The 14,295-nt window shown below is 42.0% G+C and overlaps 1 protein-coding gene and 1 pseudogene across 2 annotated transcripts in view, besides 4 other annotated features; both read left to right on the forward strand.

Moving 5' to 3' along the window:
- Window positions 399-938: a silencer, noted in NCBI's record as "silent region_12703". NCBI's record gives its function as "represses an Ori minimal core promoter by ATAC-STARR-seq in GM12878 lymphoblastoid cells {active_cell/tissue: GM12878}" and the evidence as "EXISTENCE:reporter gene assay evidence [ECO:0000049][PMID:35858748]".
- Window positions 399-1,208: a biological region, named in NCBI's record as "H3K27ac hESC enhancer GRCh37_chr20:18568835-18569334".
- The window catches only part of DTD1 (D-aminoacyl-tRNA deacylase 1), a 178,591-nt gene continuing 164,867 nt past the window's right edge, over window positions 572-14,295 (forward strand). For both annotated transcript variants that reach the window (NM_080820.6, NM_001318043.2), the window contains exons 1-3: window positions 572-633; window positions 6,249-6,339; window positions 8,524-8,759. In NM_080820.6, coding sequence (NP_543010.3) covers window positions 591-633; window positions 6,249-6,339; window positions 8,524-8,759 — 370 coding nt within the window. In that variant the 5' untranslated portion in view covers window positions 572-590. The remainder of the gene's footprint in view (window positions 634-6,248; window positions 6,340-8,523; window positions 8,760-14,295) is intronic.
- Window positions 709-1,208: an enhancer, noted in NCBI's record as "H3K27ac hESC enhancer chr20:18568835-18569334 (GRCh37/hg19 assembly coordinates)". NCBI's record gives its function as "activates a minimal SCP1, AML or CMV promoter by ChIP-STARR-seq in naive H9 embryonic stem cells {active_cell/tissue: H9 hESC(naive)}" and the evidence as "EXISTENCE:reporter gene assay evidence [ECO:0000049][PMID:30033119]".
- Window positions 1,049-1,108: an enhancer, noted in NCBI's record as "active region_17593". NCBI's record gives its function as "activates an Ori minimal core promoter by ATAC-STARR-seq in GM12878 lymphoblastoid cells {active_cell/tissue: GM12878}" and the evidence as "EXISTENCE:reporter gene assay evidence [ECO:0000049][PMID:35858748]".
- RN7SL638P (RNA, 7SL, cytoplasmic 638, pseudogene) lies at window positions 4,848-5,137 on the forward strand (annotated as a pseudogene).

Here is a 14,295-nt window from a genome sequence, read left to right on the forward strand (position 1 = left end):
TTTAGGCAGCAGATCCTTTTGTATGTGGTATCTGAAAAGCCACTGAGGCAGGAAGACAAGGAAGAAGAATTTGGGAGGATCTGCGTGCAGAGGAGTGGAAGAGGAAAGAGGAATACAATTAGAAATAGGATTCAGGCTGAATTTAAAGGCTTAGTGATGACGGGTTCTTAGGTTCGGGTATGTGGGAGAAAAAAACCAGCATAGAGACTACCTTCGGGGCAGAGTGGGTTCTGGGCACTGGGTAGGGGCTGGGCCCGGGATGGGGGGATCAAAGGGCTCTGGCGGGACCCAGATGTGGATGGGGCAGGGCCGAGCGTGGGGACTGGGCTTTTCAATGACGGGCGGGGTTACGGTTGGGCAGCAGGTGGGCGTGGCAGGCATAGGCGGAGTCAATCTATGAGTGGGTGGGCCTATCGCCAGGCCGAGAGTGGGCGTGGCCGACGTGGGGTGGGTAGCAGCCGACCGAGTCGGACCGGCCAGTTGGGCGCGCTTCCGGGTGTCACCTCCAGAGGGCGCCGGCTGCGGAGCCGCCCTCAGAGTCGCGAGGCCGGACGCAGCGCGGCGCCGCCCCACTCGCCCCAGCCGCCGCCATGAAGGCCGTGGTGCAGCGCGTCACCCGGGCCAGCGTCACAGGTCAGTCGGGCGGGGCCGGGCCCGGGAGGAGCCGCCCCTGACCCCCGCGACCGGCTGTCTTGCGTGGGGGGTCTTCCTGCGCCATCCTTGGGGCCGCTGCGGCCCCTCCGCGAGCCTGGTCCCCTTCGCGAGCTCGGTCCGCGCAGCCGCGAGTCCCCAGGGCCGGCTTCGGGGCAGCGCGGCGGCCGGAGAGCCCCCTGCACGTGCCCGACCGGCCCCGGCGCGCCCCTGGCTTCCGGCTCTCGGCAGAGGGTGCAGGACCAGCGCGCCTCATTCTCAGCACCTTTGTCCTGCGTGCGGGATGGCGGAGCCTCGGAGCATCTCCGTGGTCCGCTCTTCAGGGAGTGTTGATGAACCACGCTTAGAGCATTTCCGGAGCAGGCACTCCTCCCTTTTCACTGCTGTATTTTAAATGTTCAATTTTTGCCCATTTTTACGTATTCCAATTTTTATGGGGCTTGACTCAGGATGAAATGCACAGATGCGGAGAGTTGCTCCTTGGGCTGAGCTTTGACAGTTGCGTGCACGTACGTGACTGGAGCCTAGGCTGGATGAGGGGCGCCCCCTGCCCAGGACGCCCCTCGCCCTCGCCCGCTGAACTCTGCGCGGAGGGGTCGGGATCTAAAGAATTCAAGATGAAAACATTTCTCTTTTTCTTGTGGACCAAGCTACCCGACCCCTGGTCATCACTCAGCACTTTCGTCTCGGTTGGGCATCAGAGGTCCAGATGATTAGTGTAGATAAAGTAGTCGTTTTAAGAAAACCACGGTACGAAAGATATTTTTTAAAAAACATTTAAATGACAAGCTTTATATTGTCTTTAGTCTTTTCTGTCTTTATTGGCACAACTATATTGTTTCAGTTCAAATAATTTCAGATATCCTGTCCTTGGAGCCAGTCTGCACCAAATATGCGTTCTTGTGTCCACAAAAGTATGAATTAAAAACAAAACAGGCCGGGGGCTGTGGCTCACACCTGTAATCCCAGCTCTTTGGGAGGCCAAGGCGGGCAGATCACCTGAGGCCAGGAGTTCGAGACCAGCCTGGCCAACATAGAGAAACCCTATCTCTACTACAAATACAAAAATTAGCCGGGAGCGGTGGTTGGTGCCTATAATCCCAGCTACTCGGGAGGCTGAGGTAGGAGAATCGCTTGAACCCGGGAGGCAGAGGTTGCAGTGAGCCGAGATTGTGCCAGTAACCTCCAGCCTGGGCGACAGAGCGAGACTCTGTCTCAAAAAACAACAAACAAACAAAACCCCAAAACAAAAAACAAAACAAAACAAAAACAACAAAAAACCCTAAAGAAACAACCAAACCCACCAAAACCGTATATTTAAATCTAAGAGTCTATTTTTCAACCCCGCCTAATGATTTCTAAGCTGTTCTGGTAGCTTTGGTTTTGGAAATGGTCCTGGAATAATAGGGAATAGAGTAGCACTGGGATTTAGGAATTTTAAAGCTTTTATAACATTTCTGTAGATATTTAAATTCATGAAAACTGGGAAAATTCATAGATGAAAGATGTTTTGCATTATTGAGAAGAACCTTGCAGTCTGCTGCTGTGTGTGGTCGTCACTGACAGATTTAAATTTTGATCTCTCTCCTGAACTCTCCATCCTGCTAATCTGGAATATTGAAAATGTGTATTCTGTGAGATGTGCTGAATAAGAGTTTGGGTTATTTTGGTTCACTATTTAAGTTATATGCTTTCAGTTAAAACAACCAAACCTGCATATTAAAAAAGATAAGGGTGTTAATTATGGGAAAGTGTAAATAATTCGGGAATTCTGGGTTGGGGAACTGTGGAATTCTGTTAGAAGGGCCCTCCACTTATGCAGGCCTTCTAGTTGCATTGTAATGGAAAGGGATTTTCTGATTCCTTTAAAATGTGGCTGGTTTCACTGAAATGTGGCTGTGTTTGAATGGCATTTTATTTTAGGGGTTCTAAAATGTTAACTTCCTGTTTTATGGTCAGGACAGCATAGATTATCAGGAGTCACACATTTTATTTTATTTTAAAATAGTTGGTTGACTTCACATTTATTTTAAATTTATGCATTTATGGTTTGTTTGTTTTAGAGATGGGGTCTTGCTCTGTCACCCAGGCTGGAGTGCAGTGGCACTATTATAGCTTACTACAACCTCAAACGCTTGGGCTCAAGTGATCCTTTAGTTTCAGCATCCTGAGTAGTTAGACTACAGGCGTGTGCCGCCACCGCTATGTCCAGCTTAGGAGTCACACATTTTACTATGTGGTATATTCAATTTATGTGATTGGTCAAACACATTTTTTTTTATAGTAACCCTGTAATATCATTTGATGCCCAGTCCATCAGATTTCTCCAATTGGCTAATTGGTTTTGTTTTTGTTTTGAGAGAGTCTTGCTCTGTTGCCGAGGCTGGAGTACAGTGGTGCCATCTCTGATCACTGCAGCCTCTGCCTCCTGGGTTCAAGCGATTCTCATGCCTCTGTGTCCTGAGTAGCTGGTCTTACAGGTGCGCGCCACTGTGCCTGGCTAATTTTTTTGTATTTTTAGTGGAGACAGGGTTTTGCCATGTTGACTAGGCTGGTCTCAAATTCCTGGCCTCAAGTGATTTGCCTGCCTCGGCTTCCCAAAGTGCTGGGATTACAGGCATGAGCCACTGCACCCAGCTTGATCAAACACATTTTGATGCCTTAGGTTGGGTACTGTGATAATCTAATTTTTAAAAGTTTATTATGGCACATTTCAAACATATTAACAGACGGAATAGGGCAATAACCCCCATGTCCCATCATTCATTGTCAGCAGCTAAAATTTGATGTCTGTGAACAGTGTTGGAAGAGGATCTAAAATGTTTGGGTTTAACTAGGTTAACTTCAAAGGTTATGAATTCTTGAAGTAGAGATCTCAGGTCTGATGCCACTAGTAGGTAGAAAAATTGACCAAACATCTCAGTCTTTTCCAGCCCTTTGATCTTTTGTTCAAAGTGGTGATTCTCAGATTTTTTCCCTTGGTGATCCATTTACTTATAATAAAAAATCCTTTTGAATCTCCTAGTCCTTCTACTTGTCCCTGGAGGGGGGACAAAACTGCTCCAAAATAAGACAGCAGTCTCTGTGTCATATATAGACTTTGGGCCATAATTTGTTTCATGTTAAGATAATTATAAAACTGTCAAAATTCTTTGACAGTGATTCTAGAATCTAAGCAGATAATCCTAACTGTAGAAAAGGCTTTAGTGTACGAAGATTTTCACTACACTGTTATTTACTGAGGTGAAAATTTTGAAAGAAGCCATATGTCCAGCAAGATGGAATGGTTAATCAGTCTACTTGATGAGCTGAATCTATTAAAAGGTGTTTAGGAAAAGGTTATGACATGAAAAAATTCTTATGCAATATTATTATAAAAATTTATATGCAATGTTATTATAGTAGTTGAAAACAAATATGAATTAAAATGTATGAATAGATACAATATTAAAAGGAAATCATTAAAATATTAAAGTACTTACCTTTGTTCTTTTTTTCATGTTTCTCATATTTTCTAAAATATATAATCCTTACTTTGATGATAGATATAACTTCATGACCTTTATTTTTTAAAACATACTTTGGGAAAAATTTAGAAAGTATATCAATATTGTAAGAAAGTAATGTTGATTTATTCAAAGAACAAATAAAGCCAAAGGCTTTTTCTGAAGCAATGCAAATGAGCAAACCAACCCCCAATTGTTTACTGCCTATGTCAGGATAGATTATTTCTATTTCAGCTTTTGAGGCAGTGGCTCAAAGGACAATAAGTCACACACACATAGTTCATTATAAGAAAAGCAGCACAGAAGAAAAGATTTAAAAAATTTTAGCCTAAAAATAAAGAAATTAAGCATTACTGATATTTCAGGAATGGATTGATGTGCTCTGCTGGGATCTGAATAGCAGGTGGTCTCTTGCCATTGCAACTGAAGAAAGAGGGAAGTTTCTCACCCTTTCTTTAGCAGTGTATTGTAACATGACATAGTCTATGTTACTGTGTTAGTTATATTTATAGCTATTACCCTGCAGAAGCAAGCAAACAGCAAGAAAATGGCTGAGGTGACCCTTCTATTCCGATTAGCACATTAGGTCAGTACAAGATGAAGTAGTAAAATAACATAATCTAATAAGATTGGCAAATAATTGGCAAAAAATAGAAAATTTTCAAAAGCACCACTTGAAATACAGATTTAGCTGGGTATGATGGCGTGCATCCATAGTCCCAGCTACTCTGGAAGCTGAGGCAGGGAGGATTGCTTGAGCCCAGGGGTTCTGGGCTATAGTACACTATGCTGACCTGCTGTCATACCAAAGTTCTGCATCAATATGGTGAGTTCCCAGGACCAGAGGACCATCAGGAGGGATGGACCAACCTAGGTTGGACATAGAGCAGGTCAGAACTCCTGTGCTGATTAGTAGTGGAATTGCACCTGTGAATAGTCACTGCACTCCAGCTTGGACAACATAGAGAGATCCTGCCTCTTAAAAAGAAAAACAAATGAAAAAAAAAACAGGGATTCTCCATCATAAAGATGCATCTTTTTTTTTTTTTTTTGAGATGGAGAGTCACTCTTGTCACCCAGGCTGGAAGGCTGGAGTGCAATGGTGTGATCTTGGATCACTGCAATCTCCACCTTCTGGGTTCAAGCGATTCTCCTGCCTCAGCCTCCTGAGTAGCTGGGATTACAGGCGCCCGCCACCATGCCCGGCTAATTTTTGTATTTTTATTAGAGATGGGATTTCGCCATGTTGGCCAAGCTGGTCTCGAACTCCTGACGTCATATGACTGCCTGCCTCAGCCTCCCAAAGTGCTGGGATTACAGGCATAAACCACCATGCCCGGCCCATAATGATGCATCTTGCTACCATTTGAGGTATCGTCTAGTGGTAGTAGGGCATACATTTGGTTATAAATACATATACAAATGTTAGGAGTGTGTGCTTAGAGCCTTTTTTTTTTCAAATGGACAAGATGCATGATTGAAAAATATTTGGAGATCATTGGCTTAGAATGTAACCACAAAACTAAACTGGGAAATAATAGCAGTTTGGTGAGTTGAAGCTTAATACATAAATTGTGATTTTTATGTATTATGTATTTGTCCTCATAGTAAGTAGGAAAATCATTTATGATATGAACATTTTCCACTTTGTGCTTCCTGTATACTGTGTTACCATATTTTTTGATATTCTGCAAAAGGCAGGAATCTCTTTTCTGAGAATTAATATAGCTGAGCTGGCTTCTCTGGGGGAGGAAAACACAGTTCTGTTTTTATAGATGGGCAAACTTGACCATAGAAAATTTTGGGTGTCTTACCCAAGGTAACATAGATGAAATATGGCCCTAAGATCCTGCTTAATGGTTGTTCACTTTACAGCTCCCATTCATTCCAGAGATAAAATCAGAATGGATGGGAATTATTATCATCTCACTGCATTTATGTAACTCTTTTCATTTTCGAATACGTACTGACTTTAACCAAAGAAGTTATAAGAAGTATGTATGATGTTTAAAATACTCCTATGGTTACTTAAAAGTGCTTTATGACCTTGTTTGGTTCTGAGTTCTTCTCTCCCTTTTGGTTCCTTTCTAGTTGGAGGAGAGCAGATTAGTGCCATTGGAAGGGGCATATGTGTGTTGCTGGGTATTTCCCTGGAGGATACGCAGAAGGAACTGGAACACATGTAAGATGCATTTCTGTCATTGCTGTTTGAGTGGGCTATGTGGTGGTGGTCATGCTGGGAACTTCCATAGTACTTTGTGCCTGTGAGGTGAGCCCCTGTCACTTTTAACCATTGTCCCATTGGATGTAGTATGGTTATCTCCGTGTTTCAGAGAAGACCGAGGAAGAATGATTTAGGAGACCTCAACGCTAAGTCAGCCTTTGAGCAGGAGCACCGCCTGTCCCCTGTCTGTTTGCTACTGTGGCCTCAGAGCATGCCTCTTGTTCTCTTAACGCAAAAACCAAGCCTCTTTTCTTATGTTTGGTTTCTCTTTTTTAAATTGGGCAGTTATCTGGGCACTATGTATTTTTAGAATGTCTACTAGCTCGCTGTGCACATAGGGATCTAGAACTCAGAGAGGTTAAATTGCTTGCCCCAGATCATGCACACACACTTAGCAAAAAGCCTGAACCCCAGTTAGAGTCTGGGCTCCCTGACCTTGAAGCCAGTGATCTTTTTACTAAGGTGGTGGCGGGGGTTGAGGAGCAGGGGTTGCCATTGCTGCTGCCTGCCTGGCTCTCTGAGTTTATAGATGGGCAAACTCGACTATAGAAAGGTTTAGGTGTCTTAGCCAAGGCAGCACAGATGAAATATGGCCCTAAAATCCTGCTTAATGATTGTTCACTTTATAGCTCCCATTCATTCCAGACATAAAATCAGAATGTGCCCTCTGTGCACCTCCTCCCCTCCATTACCACGGGGCACATTTACTTTAGATGCTGGATCCATTTATTCTGCCCCTTGGTGCTCAGAGCTTGGGTATAACCCTGCCCAACTGATTCTTTTGTGTTAGATTGAAAATCAGACTTGAAACTGAATTCCTGCTAAGGTGTTGATGATGGATAACTATCATTCAATACTATTTCAGTGATGGTGGTATTTTAGTAGCTGTCCTCTGGATACTCAAAGAAGTGGTAGAGTGGTGTAATGGCTAAAAACTGAGGCTGTGGGTTTGAATGTCTTTATGGCTCTGACATACTACAGAGCTAATACTTAGCCTGGTGCTTAAGAGATGTGATTCAACATAAGACAAATCTTGGCTGTGGAGAGGGGGTAATGAGTAGCACCTGTCCCTGAGGGTGCCCATATTAAGAGTCAGTTAATTAGTATTTATAGAGTCTTTGAAACTGTCATCTACTTAACATCATCCAGAAGGGTGGCTCTCAAATGGTGAGATTTCAGCTTTCATGCTGGTGGTTCTCTGCTGTGCTTCTCAAATCTGACCCTATAGATGTCACCTGGTCAACTTTCTTGCCATGGTGACTATCCTTCTTCACATGTATAGGGAAAGCCCCTCTGGGGCTTAAGGAGCTTGTGACATAGTTTTCAAGGTGTCTTTCTCCAGATCTTTTTGCATATTTGCAATAACCATGATTTTTCTCTCAGTGTATTTGCTGAATTGTTCTTTCTTTTTTTTTTCTTTTGAGACAGAGTCTCCCTCTGTCACCCAGGCTGGAGTGCAGTGGTGCAATCTTAGCTTACTGCAATCTCTGCCTCCCTGGTTCAAGCGATTTTTGTGCCTAAGCCTCCTGAGTAGCTGGGATTAAAGGCGCCCGCCACCATGCCTGGCTAACTTTTGTAGTTTTAGTAGTAGAGATGGGGTTTCTCTATGTTGGCTAGGCTGGTCTTGAACTCCTGAACTCAGGTGATCCACCCACTGTGGCCTCCCAAAGTACTGGGATTTCAGGCATGAGCCACCGTTCTCAGCCGAATTGTTCATTTTGAGTAGCTCCAAGAAGGGGTTTAAAAATGGATGTCATTTATCCTAACATGATGAATTCGTTCATGAAAAATTACAATTGGACCCATGTTTTGACATATCCCCGACCTAAAGGAGCAGAGAATAGGTGGTTGTCATCTTAGCCCCAGTTCTCACCAGTAGCTGCTATGAACTGGAGCGACTGGCAAAAAAGAAGCAATCTCAAAACAACCGTGTGAGGTAGAACTGTTATTATTCTGTATCGCAGCTGAGGACACTGAAGCACAGGGTGGATAAGTGACTTGCCTGAGGTCATGCCTCCTGTCAGGGATGGAGTCATCATTATGTCCTTATTTGACCGGAAGCTGGTGACATTTTTGGGGTATGGAGTGTGTTGGGGGGCTTGTGATCTCTCAGGTAGCTCTCACTGCTCTTTTTCCCCTTAGGGTCCGAAAGATTCTAAACCTGCGTGTATTTGAGGATGAGAGTGGGAAGCACTGGTCGAAGAGTGTGATGGACAAACAGTACGAGATTCTGTGTGTCAGCCAGTTTACCCTCCAGTGTGTCCTGAAGGGAAACAAGCCTGATTTCCACCTAGCAATGCCCACGGAGCAGGCAGAGGGCTTCTACAACAGCTTCCTGGAGCAGCTGCGTAAAACATACAGGCCGGAGCTTATCAAAGGTAAGCAGGAGAGCCACATCCAGGAACGGGTCTTTGGGACACTCCTGGATGGAGAGAAAAAAGAAGCTGCAACTGCAGCATCTCCTTTTCTGGAAAGTCATTGTTTATGCTTGTTACTTACTTAGAACCACATACTAGCTGCTGCTATTGCTGCTGTTGTACTTAACACATGTCCTCAGAATGCTTCTGCTGGCATTTGCCCTCCTCCCTTCTTCTGTTCACATTTTGAAAATGTTTGGGAACCCAGAGGTGTGGCTAATACAGTGGTATTTCTTTGATTGTTTAGCTTAGCCCTGTCCAATAGAAGTATAGTGCAAGCCTCAAATGTGAGCCAAATATGTCATTTTAAGTTCTTGTAGCCATATTTAAAAAAATAAAAAGAAATAGGTGAAATTAATTTAAAAAATATATTTTATTTAACTGAATATATTCAAAATATGATTTTACTATGTAGTCGTTATAAACAATGATGAGGTAGTTTACATTCTCTTTTTTTTTTTTCTAAATAAAGGCTTTATTTGATTAGAGCAGTTTTAGGTTCACAGTAAAATTGAGAGGATGGTACAGAGATATTCCATATATCTCTGCCCCCGCATGCATAGGCTCACTCATTATCAACATCCACCACTAGAGTGGTGCATTTGTTACAACTGATGAACCTAAGTTCATTGTTGGATTATAACTGTTGTTCATGGCACATCATTATCACCCACAGTCTCCTGTTGGCACTAGGGTTCACTCTAATATTCTCTGGGTTTGGGCAAATTTATAATGACATGTGTCTACCATTACAGTATCATACAGAATATTTTTTATTTTATTTTTATGATTTTGTTTCTTTTTCTGTTCTGGCTTCTCAATAAGCTTTTTTGACCTAGTCTCATAGACTCTCTCTTTTAGTAGATGAGAGAAAGTGTGTGTGTGTGTGTGTGTGTGTGTGTGTGTGTGTGTGTGTGTGTATAGAGAGAAGGAGCTATAGATGGTGTTTTTGTTCTCCTAATGGTTATTTCTAAGTTTTTAACATTCATGAATAGTTACAAAAATTTCTATCAAAATTTATAAGGATCTTAGTATATTTGAACATCCCCTTTTCCTTTCTAGTTCCACTTTTTAAAATGACTTTATTAAGATATAATACACATACTGTACAATTCACCTATTTAAAGTGTACAAGTCAATTTTTTTAGTTAAGAGTTGTGCAACCATTGCCACAATCTAATTTTATAACACTTTTGTCCCACTTAAAAGAAATCCTGTACTCATCAACAGTACTAGCCTACTCCCACTCTCTTCTTTGTTGCCCCAGTCCTAGGCAGCCATTAATCTACTTTCCGTCTCTTTAGATTTGTCTATTCTGAACATTTTATGTAAATGGAATTATATAATGTGTGGTTTTGTTCCTGGCTTCTTTCACTTAGCATAATGTTTTCAAGGTTCATCCATGTTGCCACTTTTCTTTTCATCATAATCATAATCACTTTTAATCATAATTTATTTATAATCTGTAACTGGCTGTATTTGATAATATATTTTATCAATTTCTGTGGTCACCAACCTGTCTTGCTTCCTTCTTTGGGCTCTTCTTTCTGAAGTACATTCTATGATATATCAGTTGTTTACTAAGAATGTGTTAGTGGAACATAGTCATTGTAGGTTTTAAAATGTTTTTATTTTGCCTTAATTCTTTATGATTGCTTAGCTGGGCATGGAATCCTAGCTTGACAGTTCTTTTCTCCCAACATTTTGTCTTTTTTTGTAAAAAAATTATTAGTATACTTTAAGTTCTGGGGTACATGTGCAGAACGTGCAGTTTTGTTACATAGGTATACATGTGCCATAGTGGTTTGCTGCATCCATCCACCCGTCACCTACATTAGTTATTTCTCCTAATGCTATCCCTCCCCTAGCCCCCCACCCCTCAACAGGTCCCGGTGTGTCCATGTGTTCTCCTTATTCAACTCCCACTTATAAGTAAGAACATGTGGCGTTTGGTTTTCTGTTCTTGTGATGGTTTGCTGAGAATGATGGTTTCCAGCTTCATCCATGTCCCTGCAAAGGACGTGAACTCATCCTTTTTTATGGCTCATTGTATTCCATGGTGTGTAGGTGCCACGTTTTCTTTATCCAGTCTATCACTGATGGACATTTGGGTTGGTTCCAAGTCTTTGCTATTGTAAAAAGTGCTGCAATAAACATACGTGTGCATGTGTCTTTATAGTAGAATGATTTATAGTCCTTTGGGTGTATACTCAGTAACAGTAATTTTTTTTTTTTGAGATGGAGTCTTGCTCTGTTGCCCAGACTGGAGCACAGTGGCACAATCTTGGCTCACTGCAAGCTCTGCCTCCCGGGCTCATGCCATTCTCCTGCCTCAGCCTCCCGAGTAGCTGGGACTACAGACACCAGCCACCACACCCGGCTAATTTTTTTTTGTATTTTTTTTTTTTTTAGTAGAGATGGGGTTTTACCATGTTAGCTAGGATGGTCTCGATCTCCTGACCTCGTGATCTGCCTGTCTTGGCCTCCCAAAGTGCTGGGATTACAGGTGTGAGCCACCGCGCCCGGCCAGTAATGGTAATTTTTAGTGCCCTAAAAATCCTCTGTGCTCTGGCTATTCATCCGTCTCTCTTCCCTAACTCCTGTCAACCACTGATCTTTTTACTGCCTCCATAGTTTTACCTTTTTTAGAATGTCATATATTTGGAATAATACAGTGTGTAGCCTTTTCTGATTGGCTTCTTTGACTTAGTAGTATGCATTTAACGTTTCTCTTTTCATGGCTTAATAGCTCATTTTGTATTAGCACTGAATAATGTTCTATAGTCTGGAGATACCACAGTTTATTTATTCACTTACTGAAGGATATCTTGATTGTTTCCAAGTTTAGGCAGTTATGAATAAAGCTGCTATAAACATCTATGTTTTCTTATTTTTTATGTATTTTATTTTTTGAGATGGAGTTTTGCTCTGTTGCCCAGGCTGGAGTGCAGTGGTGTGATCTCGGCTCACTGCAACCTCTGACTCACGGGTTCAAGCGATTCTCCTGCCTCAGCCTTCCGAGTAGCTGGGATTACAGGTGCGTGCCACCACACCTGGCTAATTTTTGTATTTGTAGTAGAGATGGGGTTTTGGCATGTTGGCCAGGCTGGTCTCAAACTCCTGACCTCAGGTAATCCGCCCACATCAGCCTCCCAAAGTGCTGGGATTACAGGTGTGAGCCACCATGCCTGGCCAAACATCTGTGTTTATAGCAGGTTTTGTATGTATATAAGTTTTCAGCTCTTTTGTGCAAATACCAAGAAATGCAATTGCTGGACTTAATAAGAGTATGTTTAGTTTGTTAAGAAGCTGCCAAACTGTCTTGCAAAGTGGCTGGATCATTTTGCATTCCCACCAGCAATGAACGAGAGTTCCTGTGGCTCCCCATTCTTGCTAATATTTGGTGTTGTAATTGTTTTGGATTTTGGCCATTCTAATAGGTATGTAGAGGTACCTCATTTTAATTTGCATTTACCTGATGACATATGATATGGAACATTTTTTCATATGCTTATTTACTATCTGTATATCATCTTTGGTGAGGTATCTGTTAAGGTCTTTGGCCCATTTTAAAAAATTGGATTGTTTTCTTACTGTGTTTTAAGAGTTCTTTTTATATTTTGGATACTAGTCCTTTATCAGATATGTCTTTTGCAAATATTCAACTTGCAAATATTTATCCTTTATCAGATATGTCTTCTGTGAATATTCAATTTACAAATATTTATCCTTATAGGATATTTCTTTTGTAAATATTTTTTCTCAATCTGTGGCTTGTCTTTTCATTCTCTTGACAGTGCCTTTCATGGAGAGGAAAATTTTAATTTTAATAAAGCTTAGCTTATCAATTCTTATTTTCATAGATTGTGCCTTTGGTATTATATCTAAAAAGTCATCATCCTACCCAACATAATCTAGATTTTTTCCTGTTATCTTCTAGGAGCTTTATAGGTTTGCATTTTACATTTAGGCCTATGATTCATTTCAGATAATTTTTGTGAAGGGTCTGTGGTCTTTGTCTAGAGGCGCTTTTTTGTATGTGGATATCCAGTTATTCCAACATCATTTGTTGAAAAGACCCCTTGCTCCATTGTATTGCCTTTGCTCCTTTGTCAAAGATCAATTCACTGTATTTATCAGGGTCGAATTCTGGGCTCTCTGTTCTGTTCCATTGGTCTGTTTCTCTCTTCTTTCATTGATACCACACTGTCTTATTTATTGTAGCTTTATTATAAGTATTGAAGTCGTATAGTGTCAGCCCGTTAACTTTGTTCTTCTCTTTTAATATTTTTTTGACCATTCTGGGTCTTTTGCTTCCCCATGTAAACTTTAGAATCAGTTTGTTGATATCTGCAAAATAACTTGCTGGATTTAGATTGGGATTGCATTGAGTCTGTAGATGAAGTTGGGAAGAACTGACACCTTGACTATATTGAATCTCCCTGTCTATGAACATGGAATATCTCTCCATTTCTTTAGTGCTCTGACTTCTTTAATCACTTCTTTAATTTTTCTCATATAGATATTCTAATTTTTTTTAAGATTTATACCTAAGTGTTTCATTCTGAGGGGTGCTAATGTAAATGGTATTGTGTTTTTAATCTCAAATTCCACTTGTTCATTGCTGGTATATAGGAAAGTGATTGACTTTTGTATCCTGCAGTCTTGCTGTAATCACTGCCTGGTTTCAGTTTTTTGATTTTCTTCTTGGATGATCATGTCATCTGCAAACAAAGACAGTTTTATTTTTCTTTTTATTTCTTGCCTTATTTCATTAGCTAGGACTTCCAGTCCGGTGTTGGAAAGAGTGGTGAGTGGGGATATCCTTGGCTTATTTCTGCTCTTAGTGGGAAAGCTTCTAGTTTCCCACTGTTAAGTATGACGTTTGCTGTAGGTTTTTTGAAGATACTGTTTATCAAGTTGAAGATGTTCTCCCCGGCCAGGCGTCGTGCTTCACGCCTGTAATCCCAGCGCTTTGGGAAGCCGAGGAGGTCAGATCATTTGAAGTCAGGAGTTTGAGACCAGCCTGGGCAACATGGGAAACCCAATTTCTATGAAAAATACAAAAATTAGCCAGGTGTGGTAGCACGCACCTGTAATCCCAGTTACTTGGGAGGCTGAGGCAGGAGTATCGCTTGAACGTGGGAGGCGCAGGTTGCAGTGAGCCGAGATTACGCCACTGTACTCCAGCTTGGATGACAGAGCGGGACTCTGTCTCAAAAAAAAAAAAAAAAAAAAAAGCAGTCTGACAGCTTTGAAGAGAGCAGTGGGTCTCCCAGCACGCAGCTGGAGATCTGAGAACCGGCAGACTGCCTCCTCAAGTGGGTCCCTGACCCCTGACCCCCGAGCAGCCTAACTGGGAGGCACCCCCCAGCAGGGGCACACTGACACCTCACACGGCAGGGTATTCCAACAGACCTGCAGCTGAGGGTCCTGTCTGTTAGAAGAAAAACTAACAAACAGAAAGGACATCCACACCGAAAACCCATCTGTACAT

The sequence above is a fragment of the Homo sapiens genome, chromosome 20 (assembly GCF_000001405.40).
Source record: "Homo sapiens chromosome 20, GRCh38.p14 Primary Assembly".
NCBI lineage: Eukaryota > Metazoa > Chordata > Mammalia > Primates > Hominidae > Homo > Homo sapiens.